We start from the raw sequence: 18,042 nt of genomic DNA on the forward strand, positions 1-18,042 counted from the left end.
TTACTTCATAAGATTTTCTGATAATATGAATAAAATGTATGCTTCACATGTATATATGAAATAATGAGTAAGCATTAATAGACCAATGAAAAGAACTTAGCTTACAATTTATTTTCTTGCTCTTTAAAAGCAGTGGTAAATAATAGCTTTTTTTTGTTGTTAAAATTTGTAACTGTAGAAAGTTCATTCTGTTGGGATCACATATTTGAAGGCAAACTAACAATGCCATGTGCTTGCTTGAATAGGCATTTGAGGACAGGTTATTTTCCTGAGATTTCAGGAAAATATACCACCAAACATTTATGATGTTATTTGTTACCTGGATCTGTAGTGGATTTTGTAACACAAAGAGGCAGAATATCCAGGGTACCAGGTAGGGCAGTTTAGGGGCAGAGTTAATATGAGGTGTACTGTAATGTTTGAGTGGAATTACATACAGTGTTAATCAAGAGATCTAGTGCTATGGTAGAACTTATTCTGCTTGATGATACAGGTGACTGTTCTTCCTTACTAAGAGCAGTTTCTACCTGTGATACTTAAAGGGATTGAATTTCACTGTGACTTATATCAGATATTTTGAAAAGAGCTGTGCTAAAGTTGATGTCATTGTAGAAAGTTTGCCTTGAAGTGGAATGAAAGTTAGGTTTTTATTTCTTTGGTTTTTCTGTTTGACATCCTTTGATTTCTATTTTAGAATTCAACTCTTATGACTAATCATGCTGATGTGGTTTGTTCATTTATTTTCTTTGTCTATACTATTAGGAATGTCCTGGAAATAGAATTTGTACTGTGTTTTCTGAGAGCTTGTTCTCTGAAATACAGATGCAAATCTGTTGGTATCTGTTGGTATATCCCTTGGGGGTGTGCTGCATTATAAAGTAATAAAACAGTTTACAATGTTTGCTTTTTGTCAAGAGCTTATGACATATAATATGGAAATACAAAAAAGTGAATTATTTAGGAAAAAATGGGAAATTTTTCCTTTTCTGGGCACTTCAGGGTTTTGTATATGCGTAGACTCAGGATCTAAGTCCACTTAGATATATAGTTAGATATTTTGGACTATTTGCCACTTAACCCTGCACATTTTCTTTTCCTTATTCTTTTTTTTTTTTCTTTGAGACGAAGTTTTGCTCGTCGCTGAGGCTGGAGTGCAATGGCGTGATCTTGGCTCGCTACCACCTCCGCCTCCCGGGTTCAAGCGGTTCTCCTGCCTCAGCCTCCTGAGTAGCTGGGATTACAGGCATGCACCCAGCTAATTTTGTATTTTCAGTAGAGACAGGGTTTCACCATGTTGGTCAGGCATGTCTCAAACTCCTGACCTCAGACGATCCGCCTGCCTCACCCTCCCAAAGTGCTGGGATTACAGGCATGAGCCACCACGCCCGTCCTATTCTTTTTATTCATGTGTATGTTATTGCATGTATGTGTGTGGGGGGCAGGTGGTAGTGCATATTTTATGTATCTTTCACTTCTCTGTTGTTTGATGAACTTCTTCCATACTCCTCTTTGGTATCACTTTCTTCATAAATCTTTCCTGACTCCCCAAATCCTTTGCTGTATTGCTTTTTACTCTTCAAACTTCTATTATAGAATGTCACACTGTATTGTAATTTACTGTCCATCTGGACTGGGAGCACCTGAGAGGTATGGCCTTGACTTGTTTATGTTTATGTTTTGAATGCCTCTATAGTGCATAATACTTAATAGGTTCTCAATACGTATCTATTAAACTGAACTGTTGCTAGATTGTCATTTGACAGTGCTGTTTCACAATCCACAGATCTGAAGCAACAGATTGGAAAAGTGGTGGGGAGAATAGCTTCCTGTATTCCTTCACTTCCTTGAATCCTTTCTTACAGTTTTGCTTCTTAATTACATATGGAAAAATAGATAACTAGCTTCTTAGGGAAGTGTGTGTAAAGTTAGTATGGAATTAGGGAAGGATGTTAGTAATAGAGTGATTAATACCCTGTTTTGCTTCTGGCAGGATGTTTAGATCTGTATTTCTTGCATTTCTCGCTGTATTTTGTATGGTTATGGCTATTATGTGAAGGAGATATTTTGTATTTGTCTTTACAAGGTATCATGTTTACCAGTACTTACCCATGAGCTCATATTAGATTTGGGGCTTCTGAAGATAGATTCTGTTTTTCTCACCTTTTTCCTCCTAATGCCTGGCCCATTGGTTAGTAGAAAGCAGGATTTCTCTAGTTTGAATAAAATTGCCCTTATGGAAATAAGGTGAGATGTGTCTTATTGGAGGTCCAAAATTTAAAAAGCTCTGAAAGTTGATCATTTCTTTTGTTTTGTTTTGAATAAGCAAGGTGAGAAAATATCAACTGGAATTATACCTGTGAATTTGATTATTATTATCTTTCTTAATCTGATTTTCCTACATTTTCATATGGAAATGTTCACGTGTTTGACTGCAGGTGTTGCCATTGGCAGATGTTACATCATATATGATACATACAACATTTTACCTTTCTCAAATCTGAAACTGTGTTTTGAGAAACATCTGGCCTTTATAGGTTTGTTTAAGAGATTGTGAGCCAATTTTCTGCCCATTTTAGAGATGTAGAAATCAAAACAGGATAGATGACTCTCAGAATTGCATTTTAGTAGATATGCTAATATTGATAATGATTTTAGGAATATTATGTCTTAATTGCCTGTATATGTTCCAGAGACCTTTTAGTGACTAAGAGCTGCCAAAGATACAGAGTGTATATTTTTAAAAAGGGAGTATGATCCAGTACTCAGGACACCAGTCCTTTCTCTGCCTTTTCTGAATGGAAATGTCTTTCCTTATACGTGAGTAGATGAAAATGCACATTTAGTAAGTTTTTACTAAAACTTAGTAAAAACTAATGATAAAATGAGTGAGGGAAAATTATGTATCCTGGCAATTTAGGTAACAGTGAGTAGACTTGCTTGTTTTTCAAACATATTGATATACTATTTTTCCATTTGTGTATTCAGATGTTGAAACAGCTCCAGTTTGTATTAGCATCTGGACAAAATGTAATGACTGATTATGTAATACAATGTGTTTGAGAGAGGAGCATTTGGTTTTGTGTCATATCTGGCAAGAATGTGCTTTTGTATTACTTTCTACATTGTAAATTATAATGCCTATCCTGCATACAAATTTTGTATTTAGTTTTCTGCTTGTAAGAATCTTTCATAGGTCAGTAAAATAAAATATTAAGTTTACTATGCCATTCCAAGCACCTGACTACTTTTGGCTTTGCTACTTAATATTTTTAAAATGTTTTACAGCTTGCAGAGAGGACTTTTATATACATTATCTTAATTTTATATATATTAAAATAAGTTTAAAACTTAGCATTTATGTTTATAAACAAGCTATTTTGGTCAATAAGAAAATTAGAAGTTGGGAATTATGAAGGCCGTTTTCATCTTCAGACTGGACTCAGAGTCTAATTTCTTTCTCATTTATTTTAGCGCTACTTTATAGAGAAAATCGTGATTTATTAAATCAAATAGATGTTAATGGAAGACTTGTTTTTGTTTGCATCTGATCATCTTGCAGATCCTGGATATTTAATCAAATTGATGCAGAAGTTTGAAAGACAAGCAGCAGTAGGAAATTTTTGTTTCAAGCTTGACTTTTCTGACAATATCCAACAGCTGCTCATATTTTTAAAAATTAGAAACATTCACTGAGAAACGTTAAAAACTTAAAAGCAAATACTGTGTTATAATGAGAATAGGTAATAACATATCATTGATGCTACACTTTACATATTATTGCACCATTATTCTGAGGTAATCATATGCCGAACAGATTACTGCACAAAGTAATGCTTTAGGGGTGTAGTTTTTATGGGAATGAACATGTCTGGCCTGAAATTAGAAAAAAAATTGGAGCCATAATCTTTCTAATCTATGCTTGCTTATGAGAAATTCTAGGTATATTTATGTCAGGCCAAACTATTTGCTACAGCAAACCGGTTAACCTGACATCTGAGATAGTCTTTAAAGTGTTTAAGTTTGGTATACAATGCACTTGTGTGTGTATATGACTCATCCTAAAATGGATGGATGTGTGTAAAAAAATTGTAATCCAATGCTTAAATGAATTTGTGAAGCACAAATAAGTGAAACACTAAGATGTTTCAGAGCATAGTTTGAAAATCCCTGTGCTCGATCACCAAAGTCACTTCCAACAGTAAAATTCTGTGTATTTTAAAAGTTCTTTTTCTATTCCCTGCACATGCAAAATTCATATAATTTAGCTGCTTTTTAGTAGTATTTGGATAGAAATTGTTTATTAAATTTAAAGTTGAGGCTCTGCTGGTTATATGTTAGCACTCTAGATGTTTTCAAGTAAATCCTTTAGTAATATGAGTGTTTAGTCTCTGCTTGACATTGTTATTGGATATATGACGGTGATCCAGACAAGTCTCCACCTTCATTAATGTAACATTCTGGAGGAGGAGACAGACAGTAAACAAATAAATAAACATAATTTCAGGTAATGGTAACTTAGGAAAAAATAAAGGGGGATAAAGGTACAGCAATTGATTAGAAATGGAAAAAAGATTAAGTAGGGTGATGAGAGAAGACTTCTGTGGAGGTATCAGTTGAGCAGAAAGGAGTAAGCCATGCAGAAATGTGGTTGAATGGTTTTCCAGGCAGAAGTAATAGAAGGCCCTGAGATAGGGTCAAGTTTTGTATGTTTGAAGATAAGAAATTTCATAAACAATTACTTAGTGCTTTCTGCATAAATGGGGGTAAGCTCTAAAGGGGAGAAGAGGTGATTAAAGCATAATGATCTGTGTCTTTCACTTCAGAAAATATTGTGGTGGACCCAGTAATCTGTAATAGGTTTTACAAAGAGCAATAGGAAGGAGGGATTATTTTTTATTAAGGTGCCTTGAAATTGTTTTCTACATCAGATGAATTGCAGGGGTTGAGGGGTGGTCTGTCTGGAGTACTGGAAAATGACATAGGAAAGCAAACTGAAAACTTTCCTTAATTCATGTGTTTATGTAGAATAATAAAACCTATACTTTTCTTAGAAATTAGTAATAAGTTTCATATTTAATTAGATTTTCTTGTACAGTCCAATAAATGTTACTTTGTGCTGTGCACTATTATAGTTGCACTGCGTAATTCCTCAAGTTAAATTTTTGTCATACTGTAGAAACATCCTAGAGTAGAGTAACTTTGTTTCAGGGAGTTAATGAGTTGGCTTCAAGGAGGTGATAAGTGAGCTCTGGGTTCTGAAGGGTGATTTGTAGTTAACTAGGTGGGGGAGGGTAGGGAATCAGCATTGTAAATGCACAAATCCTAGGAAAATGTTCTAGATTTGGAGAATGGTGAGGTAATCCTCCATAGCCCTTGATGGAATTCTGGGACCTCATAGGAGAAGTTAGTTGAAGGAATGAAGTAGCCACAGTATGAGGTCTTATCTTTTATGTGATGAGGGAACCATTAACCATTAGGAGGGGAAAAAAAAGCCAGTGAGATTGATAAGCAGATTCGTGTTTCAGGGGAAAGTTTAGATTCCACAGTCGATTTACAATTAAAATTATAAGCTTAATGGTGTATGTTTATGACATTTTTGAAAGATTATTTTCTCTCCATTAAACAAATTGAGTACTTTGCATTCATATAAGCAGGATTTTTATTTGTTAAGAACTGTATGACTTTGAAACTCTGTAGTCTATCTTTTAGAGAACTTGTTATATATGTAAATGAATGCCAACTGTTCAAGATTTTTCCGTTACTGGGGTGGAATTTTTGTATACGTTTTGGGGCAGGCAAAGTTTGAGTATTATCATCTGATGTAATGTGTTAGGCATGAGATTTAACATTCTTGGATAAATTGAAATAATACCAAGAAAATCTAAATCAGTGATAAAATCCCTACATAGGTGCTGATATTTATGTTATGTTACTAGAAGTGCTTATTTTACAATGCTATGATATGTGTTTGTGTGTTTCTCAAAATATATAACACTTGGATATATTAGGTTGCTAGCATTATCTGTTAATTGACATGCAGAAACAAATCCTAAATTAATGTTTTTAAAGAGAAAGAATTGCTTCTCTGAGAATGTAGTTTCAGCAAGTTATTTTTATTTTTATTTATTTATTTCTTTTTTTGAGACAGGTCTCACTTTGTCACCCAGGCTGGAATGCAGTATCATGATCACGGTGCACTGCAGCCTTGACCTCCTGGGCTTAATCAATCCTCCCACCTAAGCCTCCTGAGTAGCTGGGACTACAGGCGCATGCCACCATGCCCGGCAAATTTTTGTATCTTTTGTAGAGACAGGGTTCCTCCATGTTGCCCAGGGTGGTCTTGAACTCCTGCGCTCAAGCCATCTGCCTGCCTCATCTTCCCAAAGTGCTGGGATTACTGGCCTAAATTATTGCTTTTATTGTATGCATTATATACTATTTTATCATAACAAAAGTTAATGGTTCAACTATGGCATTTAGAGCTGCCCACGTAGCCTGATTGTCTATTTAGTTCACTTTTGACTGAGTAAAATGGAGCTGATCTATCTGCTATTAAAGAGAGTTATATTCTGAAATTTTACATGATGTTCATAATGCCTGGAACTAACCAGCCTGAAATGGAATCACCGTTGTACTGTTTTCAATTGGCTAGGTGACTTATTCTCCCTATACTTCAGTTTTCTCATTTGAAAAATGTAGATAAAAATAAATAAATAAAAACAAAGAAAAATGTAGATAAATAACAATACTTACCCAGTAGAACTGATGTAAGGATTAAAGTTTTTTGTGGGTTTTTTGTTCGTGTTCGTTTTGGAGTGGGACTTGTTAGGTTAAAGAGGAGCTTCTGGGGTATACAAGAATTAGCCACAATTTATTTCATAGAGTGCACTATACTCTTTTTTGTATCAGATTCGTAAATGTAAACAAGAATGCAGTCTTGCTCTTAGAGTCTAAACATGTTTTTCCTACCAGGAATTTTGTTTAGATGACCTTCTGTGAAGTAAGATGTGTAATATTTTGAGTAACATAAATAAATCGTCATATTGCTCTGTCTGTAGTACTTGGCAAAGCACAGGGCACATAATAGGCATTTAATAATTCCTGTGTTAAGTGGGATAAATCTAATGGGTTAGGATTCAGACAGACTGGTGTCTACCTTTTTCAACCTGAATAGTGCAGAGTTAGTTACCTGTAGTAGTTTTTTCTTCTGTGCCTGTTTTCTTCCTTAAAATTAATAAAATATTTTCTTCCCTTAAGTGTATTTAGTAGGTTTAAATATGACCCTGTAAAACTCCTGACAAGTAGGTATTTACTGTTGTTGGTTCCCATGCCATTTCCTTTATTTAGAGCAAAAATTGCAAAAATCCTGGAAGTTCAGAAGAAACACTTAGCACCTTTTATTTATTTTTTTGAAAGTTGAGAAATGTACCATTGAGTACGTGCTCATCTTTAATGAAGAGATAATATATTATTTTGGAAAGACTTCACACTTTGATTCAGATGATGGGTTCCAGTCTGGGCTCTATAAACTTACTAGCTGTGTGCCTGGACAAATCAATTAGTATTGAAGAGCCTCAGCTGTTTGATAATTTATACCTCCCAGTGTTGCTGATGGCAACTCAGATAATGAAAGAAAAAGTGTTTAACTGTAGAGCATGTCAAAGTATCATGATAATTATTCCTGATTATTAGTTACTGTAGTGAAACTAGTATAGTAGTTTCCCCTTAATTCAAGGGGAAATATGTTCTGAGACCCCAGTGGATGCCTGAAACTACAGATAGCACTGAACCTTATATGTACTGTTCCCCCCTATACATACATACCTATGATAAAGTTTAACTTGCACATTAGGTACAATAAGAGATGAGCAACAATAGCTAATAATAAAATAGGCCAGGCGCAGTGGCTCACGCCTGTAGTCCCAACACTTTGGGAGACCAAGGCGGGCAGATCACGAGGTCAGGAGATTGAGACCATCCTGGCTAGCACGATGAAACCCCGCCTCTACTAAAAAATACAAAAATTAGCCGGGAGTGGTGGCACGCGCCTGTAGTCCTAGCTACTCAGGAGGCGGAGGCAGGAGAATCGCTTGAACCCGGGAGGTGGAGTTTGCAGTGAGCCGAGATCACGCCACTGCACTCCAGCCTGGGGGACAGAGCGAGACTCTGTCTCAAAAAAAAAAAAAAAAGAACAATTATATAATATAAAAAAGTTAAATGAATGTGATCTCTCTCTCAAAACACCTCTTGTACTGTACTTCTTGTGATCTGTCAGTCTGATAATCAAGATAGTTACTAATGTGAATAAGGGGTGGGTAGCATATGTAGCAAGGATATCATGTCCCAGGTGGGATGGAGCGGGATGTCAGAAAATTTCATCACACTCCTCAGACTGGTGCCCAATTTAAAACGTATGAATTATTTATTTCTGGAATTTTCCATGTAATATTTTTGTACTGCGGTTCACCATGAATAACTGAAACTGAAGAAGAAGAAACCGCGGATAAGGGGAGAACTACTGTAGTTTCTTAAGTTGTATGATTGAATGATTCATTCATTTTTACCTGGTGATGCTGCTGCATTTGGGTGCTTTGCCCTTTATGCATTTTTATTTAAATAGATATCTGGTTTATTAGGCTAGGCGCAGTAGCTCATGCCTGTAATCCCAGCACTTTGGGAGGCCGAGGCGGGTGGATTGTAAGTTTTAGGAGTTCAAGATCAGCCTGGCCAACATGGAAAACCCTGTCTCTACTAAAAATACAAAAAATTAGCCAGGCATGGTGGCACGTGTCTCTAATCCGAGATGCTTGGGAGGCTGTGGCAGGAGAATCGCTTGAACCTGGGAGGCGGAGGTTGCAGTGAGTTGACATCATGCCAGTGTACACCAGCCTGGGTGACAGAGCAAGACTGCATCTCAAAAAAAAAAAAAAAAAAGAAGAAGAAGAAAAAAAGAAAACTGGCTTATTGGACTTTGGGAGGGGAGTTTGGAGAGATTGTGGGAGTGGTAAAAAAAGATTCTGCTATGTTCATCGGAGCAGGCCAGTTAATTGAGTATTTTTGCATGCTGAGGTCCTGATGCTTTCTCTATGTATCTATAGCAGGAAATTTACTTCATCTTAACTCCTGCTTCATTAGGGTAAAATATCATGATAATCTTTGGGGTATTCCCATTTTTGTAACTGTATTTGTGTCCTTTCTCTTTATCATTGTTAGCCAAGTGTATTTTTTGTGAACATCGTGTCTGTTTTTTTGAAATTCATTTTTAATTTATAGTTAGAGCATTGAGAATGTCAGTGCAGTAGTTTGAAACTCTTGTGTATTCTTGTGCATATGTGTATGAATAACTTACGCTGTTCTTTGTCCCTTAAATCTGTAAGATCTCTTGGGTACTGAGCCTTTTGAAGCATTAAAAGTAAATACCATATAAGGCAAGCAGAATAGTACTAAATAGCTGCAGTAGCAAAGCAAGGAAAGTGAATCACAGAGTAATGAATTTGGAAAATGACTGTCGTGCATTGTAGGAAAAGGCATTGCTTTTACTATCATCCTTGTAAAATCTAGTTGCTGACATTAAGTATTTGTTGTATGTGCTGATTATTTAATCGTGTACTGTAACAAAGGCACTTACAAGCAAAATACTTTTTCTTCTAAAAACATATACTGAAACTCTAGAAATTGGAGTACAGCTACCCTAAATCCTCAGTTAGTTTGCTATTCAATTCTTTCATATTAACTAAGGCAAATAATTTAAAATTGAGCAAATAACTCATATCTAAAACTTATTTATAAAACATATTTGTAATATAAAACATGAACTTCTAGAAGATCTACAGATTCTGGTCAAGATATGCCCCTTTATAATTTCAATAGTTTAAATAATGATTGTCAGGCACAGCAAAATACTCAGGCATCAGATACTCAGTTAACTCTGTTATGTTTGCTATTCTTAGAAGATTATTACCACACTTTAGAACAGTTTTCAATATCCAAGGCTGTTTGCTTATTTCACTGGAATTAACTAAAAGTAATTAGGGAATTCATTCCTCAGAATAATTTATATCCTAAGCTTTATGATGAAGAAGGCTTTTATTTCTAATTGTATATTCCAGCCTTGGACCAAAAATGTACATGCTAAAATATCAAGACAAGGCAAAGATATATTTTTGCTTTTCTGTCACTTAATACTATTTCAAAATAGTTTCAGATTTATCAATTGGCCCAGAAAAAGAGTATTTAATTCCTTTGATTTGGAACATCTGATTCAAATTAATGATTTGAGAAGTTTTTAATATACTTTGGGAACTTCAACTTGGAATTCTGAGGTAAATTGTTTTAAAGGGAAGATTCTTTTGTAATAGAAAGTTTCTCTATAACTTACCTATTTTGTAATTTTGGATTCTTGTATATTGATATGTATTATTACAGCATACCAAGGAAGTAATAGTGTTATTTACTGGTTTTTAAATTTTTATATGGAGTGAATTAAATGTGAGGTTCTGCTGAAGGAGACCTGTGGGTAAAAAAAAAAAAAAAAAAAAAGTGGTAATAGCATATACTTATTACAGAAAAAGTAGAAAGGTTGGTGAGAGAAGAAAATAAAAATCACTTCCAAGCCTATAACCTAGAGAACCGTTGTTAACTGAGGCAAACATTGCCATTTCCTTTGCATGCATGTGTTTGTAAGCTCTACAGTCTCTCGTTTTTCTCTCTGATTATTAAGGTAATATGGGGGATGTGAAAATGCAGGAGAGTTGTAATAAAGAGAGGAGAAAAAGCCACTCAGAGACATCCATGAAAGTTTGCATTTTTGTGATGAAGAAATTGGAGTAGACATGGTAATTTGTAACCTGTATTGAAAAAACAAAACTGACACCATAAGCATTTTCCAGTGTCATATATTTATCCAAAACAGGATTCTTAATGGCCAGAGCATAACTGATTTAATGATTGTGTATGATTGAACATTTTATTTTTTTTTTACTTTTATAAATAGCACTGTGATGAACATTCTTGTACCTGAATTGTTTGTACATTTATTTCTTTAGAAGAAATTTCTATAAGTACAATCATTTCAAAGTATATGAATTTTGGAGGTAAGCAGGTCCAGTGCTTAGCCAATTGCTGTGTCCTTAGTGAGATTACTTTTCAAGCCTTAGTATTCTCTCTGTAAGAACAGGTATAATATACTTAACTCAGAGGTTAGAAGGAGTAAATGACAACATATGTATAGCATTTAGCACATCCGATAGTATACAGGATACTCTCAGTGAGTCTTTCCCCAACTACCCCCTTTTTTTTTTTTTTTTTTCTTTTTGAGACGGAGTCTCGCTCTTTCGCCCAGGCTGGAGGGCAGTGGCACCATCTCGGCTCACTGCAAGCTCCGCCTTCCGGGTTCACGCCATTCTCCTGCCTCAGCCTCCCAAGTTGCTGGGACTACAGGTGCCTGCCACTGTGCCCGGCTATTTTTTTGTATTTTTTTTTTTAAGTAGAGATGGGGTTTCACCGTGTTAGCCAGGATGCTCTCGATCTCCTGACCTCGTGAGCCACCTGCCTCGGCCTCCCAAAGTGCTGGGATTACAGGTGTGAGCCACCGCGCCCGGCCCCAACTACCCTTTTCTTAAGTAGACTCTTCTTCCCTAGCATCTATTGTAATTAGCTATTACGCTAAAAAAATTTTGTCTTTCATTCCACCACTAGATCATGAGTAGGGACAAGTTCAGTCTAGTTCATTAATGTATATTGAAAACTCGTACAGGCCTAACAAATGTAAATATGTTGGATGTATGAAAAGTTATCTTCCAAAGCTTTTAATATTCAGTTGCTTTTTTTCTTACAGCAAAGCTGTGCCAGTTTACATTCTCTGCAGCTCTGTGTAAATTGTGTCCTTTTTAATTTACTGTCACTGATACTGAGTATGTTGTGTTAACAAAAAGTTCTAAATTTCAAAGTTATAAACTGATAATTTTAAAAACTTGTATTTTTTGGCTTTTTCTCTGAAGAAGCAATATTTTATATTCACTTCTATTTTCACGTTTTCTGTTTATGTTTTTCATTCTTACTAATAAGAATAAAGACAAAATAAGAGTAATATGTTATAGTCCTGTCCGTGGTCCCCTCCCAAGCATTATTCCATACTTCCTGGGAAGAAAAAGTAAATAGCATCACACAATTATGAGACAGGGTTAATATACAGAAGTACCATATCAAAACTGATCTCCAAGGGGTTTAAACTGGATAAACTTACGGTGAAAAAGTTTAAAAGAATTTTTGCCTAATTTAATTTACTGTATTAACACTGAAAATGTAGGTTAAGATGTTATGTTAAAATCAGATTGTATTTTCAGTATTAAGCTTATGTTTTCTGGAGGGCTTCAAAATCACTTTCATATCTGTGGATGTATTTGAAAATAGTATTTTGCTTGTGGGAAGTAGGCAAAGACAAGTAATATTTAGGTATTGTATTAGATATTTTATGTTACTCATTCATTAATTTAACAAATATTTATTTAACTCCTACCGTGTGCCCCAAGTGCTATTCCAAAAGAATATAGCAGTGTACAAAATAAAATCTATATAGATACATATAATCTGACAGATGGTGGTAAGGATAAGGAGGAAAAGAAACTAAGGGAAAGTATGGAGTGTGTATGAGGTGCAGATTTAAATAGGCTGGTCAGGGAAGTCCTTTCCCACTGATTTCCCCTCAAGGCGTGAGCCTGTGGTGAGGGAGCAATCCTGTGCTTGTTCAGGAGAAAGGGCTTTCAGGAAGGGACAACAACAAAGAACAAAAAACCTGAGAGAGACGGATTCTTGATGTCTTATGATTAAAAAATTGCAAAGCAGTATGTGTGGCTAGAGTGTAGTGGGAAAGGAAGAGAATGGTAGATGGGTACAGAAAAGGGCAAATGAGGAAAGACTTTGCTAGGCTACCATAAGGACATTTTTACTTACAGTAAAATATACCTTGTATATACTCTTCACAGTTGTTACACGAGGTTAGCTGAATTTTTCCCATTTTACAGTTGAGTAAATAAGGTAGGTTCTAGCATATAACTGGTAATTAACTTCTTCAAGGTCACATAAGCTAGCCAGTAAGATCCAGAGTCAGGTCTTTGACTTCAAAACCTCCTGAATTTTTGTTTGTACTGTTCTTGTTCAAGCATACTTACAGAGCCTTTCACTTTTACAGTGAAATTCAGACCGGGCTTAGTTTTTAGTGTTGATCTAGGGTGAGTTTTCATGCAGGGCTTATTTTTTTTTAATATCCATAGGAACTAATACCATTCTTATTTTTAAATCAACTTTGTCAAGGAAGTTTACATATAATACAAGGTACCCGTTTAAGTGTCCTTTTTTAAATTAGTTTTCACAAATTTATACACCCGTTTAACCATCACCATCATTCAGATACAGAATATTCCCATCAACCCTCAAGTTCACTGATTCCATGGAGACCCCAATCATGGCCCTGGCAACCACAGATCTGCTTTCTGTCAGTATATTTGAGATTTTTTCTAGAGATTCGAACAAACGGGTTTGTAGGTACTGCATTGTTTTGTGCCTTCTTTTGCTCAACATAATTTCATGACTTATTTATGTTGCATGTATCAGTTGTTCACTTCTGTTGGATATTGTTTTGTTGGCTAGTACTCTTCTAACTGGTGCCTGAAACGTTTGTTGAATGAATGCATATAATAAATATCCTCTTCCCCCAGTTTTGCCGCTTTCCTTTATCATGAGACTGCTAAAACCTCTTCTAGATTTTGTATGTTGCTAGACTTAAATTTGTGTATAGAGTATTTGAAGAGATAATAGTGAAAAATGTGCATGATTTGGAGCTCAGTATTTGTTAAAAAGACTGTTTTCTCTATTTATTTATCTTAGTACCCTTCTCTAAAATGAGCTGACTGTATATGTGAAGCTTTATTTCTGGACTCTCAATTCTGTTTCATTGATTGGTATGCCTATCCTTATGCCAGTATCCCTTGATTACGATCTGCAATTTTGAAAACAGGAATTTTTGAGAATCCTCCAACTCTGTTCTTTTTCGAGATTGTTTTATTAGTATCTGCTCCATGAATTTCCATATGAATTTTAGAACTAGCTTGCTAATTTCTCCAAAGAAACCAGGTGGAATTTTGATAGAATTGTGTTGAAACTGAACATGGGATGTCTTTCTATTTATATAGTTATTTAATTTCTTTTTTTTTAATCAATTGAGTACCAAAATAGACTTTAATTTCTTTTAAGAATGTTTTGTAGTTTTTATGGTATGTTTTGTATTACTTTTGTTAAACTTACACCTAAGTGTTTTATTCTCTTGGATGCTTCAGAAATGGAGTTATTTTCTTAATTTCATTTTTGGATTGTTCATTGTTATTGTATAGAAATGCAATTAATTTTGGCGTATTGATTTTGTACCCTGCAACCTTGTTGCACTTGTTTACTTAATTATTATAAAACATTACTATTAATAAAATCTTAAGTATTAAACTGCTATGTAAACTGTTGTATATTTTCAAGTCTCCTGTTGACTTATCTTGTATCTAGTTGTTGTATTCATTATTGACATGGAGTATTAAAAGTCTCCCAACCACTGTTGTTGAATTGGCTATTTTCTCTCTTCAGGTGTCAGTTTTTGCTTCATTCATTTCGGTGCTCTTTTGTTAGGTTTATGTGTTTATAATAATCTTTTTAGTGGCTTCTTTAGGATTTTCTTATCTATGATATCATGTAATCTGCAATTAGAGGTAGTTTCACTTCTTCTTTTCCAATCCAGATGCATTCTATTTTTTTTTTTTTTGCCTAATTGTTCTGGCTAGAATCTTTAGTACAGTATGAAATAGAAATGGCAATTCTGTTTAGTGGACAACCTTGTATTATCTCTGATCATATAAGGAAAGCATTCAGACTTTCACCTTTGAGTATATACCTGTGTTTTTGTTTTTTTTTCCATGGATACCTTTTATCAGTTTGAGGATGTTCCTTTCTATTTCTAGTATGTTGAGTGCTTTTATTATGAAGGGCTGTTAGATTTTTTCAGATGCTTTTTTTGGTGCATCTTTTGAGATGATCATGTGGTTGTTCTAATATGTTGTATTACATTATTTTGTTTTTATGATGTTGAACAGTTCTTGAATTTTTGGGATAAATCCAACTGGTCATGTTGTATAATCCCTATTTTGCTGTATTTGTTTTCTGGTATTTTGTTGTGGATCTTTGTGCCTATTTTCTTTCTTTCTTTTTTTTTTTTTTTTTTTTTTTTTTTGAGACGGAGTCTTGTTCTGTTGCCCAGGCTGGAGTGCAGTGGCATGATCTCGGCTCACTGCAACCTCCACCTCCTAGGTTCACGCCATTCTCCTGCCTCGGCCTCCTGAGTAGCTGGGACTACAGGCGCCTGCCACCATGCCCAGCTAATTTTTTTGTATTTTTTAGTAGAGACGGGGTTTCACCATGTTAGCCAGGATGGTCTCAATCTCCTGACCTCGTTGTCCTCCTGCCTCAGCCTCCCAAAGTGCTGGGATTACAGGCGTGAGCTACCACGCCTGGCCAGTTTTTGTGCCTATTTTCATAAGATATATCAGTCTGTAGTTTTCATTTCTTGAGATTTCTTTGATGTTGTTAACTGGATAATAATGGTCTTGTAAAATGAATTAGGAAATGTTCCAGGTTCCAAAACTCTTCTCTGTTTTAGAAGAGTTTGTGAAGAATTGGTATCAGTTTTTCTTAAAATTGGTACAATTCACCAGTGAAGCTGCCTGGGCCTGAGATTTTTTTTTTTTTTTTATGGGAAGTTTTAAAATTACTAATGCAATCTCTTCACTTGTTACAGGTTTATTCAGATTGTCTGTTTCATCCTAAGTCAATTTTGATAGTCTGTGACTTTGTAAGAATTTGTCCCTTCCCTTTAGTTATTTAATTTGTTAGTATTCAGTTCACATTATTTCTTTACGATCCTTGTTATGCCTACCCTACAAAGTTGTAGTAATGTACTGTTTCTTTCCTGTTTTTAGTACTTTGAGTTTTCTTTTTTTTTCTTTTCTTGGTCAGTTTAGCTCAAAGTTTGTCAATCTCTTTATCTTTTTAGATAATAAACTTTAAAAAGTATTTCTCATTTTTTTATTCTCTAGTTCACTTATATCGGCTCTCATCTTTATTATATCCATTGTTTGCTTTTGGTTTAGTTTGCTCATCTTTTTCTAGGTTTTGTTTTGTTTTGTTTTGTTTGAGACGGAGTCTCGCTCTGTCGCCCAGGCTGGAGTGCAATGGCGCAATCTCGGCTCACTGCAAGCTCCACCTCCCAGGTTCACGCCATTCTCCTGCCTCAGCCTCCGAAGTAGCTGGGACTACAGGCGCCCGCCACTACACCCGGTCAATTTTTTTGTATTTTTTAGTGGAGACGGGGTTTCACCGTGTTAGCCACGATGGTCTCGATCTCCTGACCTCGTGATCTGCCTGCCTTGGCCTCCCAAAGTGCTGGGATTATAGGCGTGAGCCACGGCGCCCGGCCTAATTACATAATTATTTTTATCAGTCTGTCAAGTTTGCTAGCAGTGAATTCTGCCAATCCATCTTAATCTCCAAGTTTATTTTGCCTTATTTTTTTTTCCGGTTATTTGTGTTTTTTGCGATGGAGTCTTTCTCTGTTACCCAGGCTGGAGTGCAGTGGTGTGATCTCGGCTCACCGCAACCTCTACCTCCCGGGTTCAAGCACTTCCCCTGCCTCAGCCTCCAGAGTATCTGGGATTACAGGCGCCTGCCACCACACCTGGCTATTTTTGTATTTTTTGTAGAGATGGAGTTTTGCCATGTTGGCCAGGCTGGTCTTGAATTCCTGACCTCAGGTAATCTGTCTACCTCGGCCTCTCAAAGTACTGAGATAACAGGCATGAGCCACCACACCCGGCCTATTTTGCCTTTTTTGAAGGATGGTTTTGCTGGATATAAAATTCTTTATTGACAGTTTTTTCTTCATTGTTTTGAATATGTCATCCTACATCTTTCTGGCCACCATTATTTCTAATGAAAAGTTAGTTGTGACAAGTCACTTTTCTCTTGCTGCTTTCAAGAGTCTTTTTGTCATTGGCTTCCAACGTTTTGTGCTATGATGTTTCTGGGCATGAATCGTTTTGTTTACCCTACTTGGTAACTCTTCTTGGATGTGTAGATTAGTGTTTTTCTTCAATTTCAGAGGTTATCAGCCATTATTTCCTGAAATATTTTTCTGTTCTTTTCTCTCTCCTTTCTTCTTACTCCCATTACACATATGTTGATTCACTTAATAGTATCCTATGCTTTTTTTTCCTGAGGTTTTGTTCACATTTTTTAATTAATTTTTCTCTGAATTGCACAACCCTATGAATCTGTTGTCAAATTTACATTCTCCTTGTTCTCCTGGTTCAGATATGCTTTTGAGCCCCTCTTATTTTTGAGCCTCTGAATTTTTCAGTTCATTTTACTTGTTAACTACATAATATCTCTTTTTTTCTTATCTCTTTCTTAAAGATAAGACATTGTCACATCACACTTTCCTTTACGTCTTTGATCATGATTTCCTTAAATTATTGAATATATTTTTAACGACTGCTTTGAAGTCTTTATTAAGTCTGACATCTTGGCTCTTAAACAGGCAGTTTTCGTTGACTGCTTTTTCACCCTGTGTATGAATTACTTCTATTTATTTGCATGTCATAATTTGTGGGCGAGAGGCTGGACATTTTACATGAACTTTGCAGCATCTCTGGATACTGATCTTTCTTCTCCTTTGTGCTTGTTTGCTTGTTTAATGGCTTGGCTGGGCTTTTTCAATGAAGTTTTATATTTCTTGCCGTGTGAAGTGCCTGATGTCACCCATGAGAGGGTACAGCCTTGGACATGGGCAATTATATTGGGATGACAGTGATTTTAGTAGGACCATTTCCGATTGTCTTTTTCACTTATATATATCTGTTAAAACCTCTGCTTCTGTTGGTGTCACACCCAGATATGATAGCCTTTACTAACTGCTGGTGACTGCTCTTTTGTTATTAACAGTTCTCTGGA

At 35.6% G+C, this 18,042-nt stretch overlaps 1 protein-coding gene across 23 annotated transcripts in view, besides 3 other annotated features; it reads left to right on the forward strand.

Annotated features, from left to right (window-relative positions):
* CNOT2 (CCR4-NOT transcription complex subunit 2) overlaps window positions 1-18,042 on the forward strand; it is a 111,976-nt gene that overhangs the window by 3,047 nt on the left and 90,887 nt on the right. The gene's annotated exons all lie outside the window — the stretch shown is intronic.
* Window positions 9,371-9,571: a silencer, noted in NCBI's record as "peak1799 fragment used in MPRA reporter construct". NCBI's record gives its function as "represses an SCP1 promoter by STARR-seq MPRAs in K562 erythroleukemia cells {active_cell/tissue: K562}" and the evidence as "EXISTENCE:reporter gene assay evidence [ECO:0000049][PMID:32103011]".
* Window positions 11,018-11,518: an enhancer, noted in NCBI's record as "H3K4me1 hESC enhancer chr12:70650862-70651362 (GRCh37/hg19 assembly coordinates)". NCBI's record gives its function as "activates a minimal SCP1, AML or CMV promoter by ChIP-STARR-seq in naive H9 embryonic stem cells {active_cell/tissue: H9 hESC(naive)}" and the evidence as "EXISTENCE:reporter gene assay evidence [ECO:0000049][PMID:30033119]".
* Window positions 12,502-13,035: an enhancer, noted in NCBI's record as "NANOG hESC enhancer chr12:70652346-70652879 (GRCh37/hg19 assembly coordinates)". NCBI's record gives its function as "activates a minimal SCP1, AML or CMV promoter by ChIP-STARR-seq in naive H9 embryonic stem cells {active_cell/tissue: H9 hESC(naive)}" and the evidence as "EXISTENCE:reporter gene assay evidence [ECO:0000049][PMID:30033119]".

The sequence above is a fragment of the Homo sapiens genome, chromosome 12, assembly GCF_000001405.40.
Source record: "Homo sapiens chromosome 12, GRCh38.p14 Primary Assembly".
NCBI lineage: Eukaryota > Metazoa > Chordata > Mammalia > Primates > Hominidae > Homo > Homo sapiens.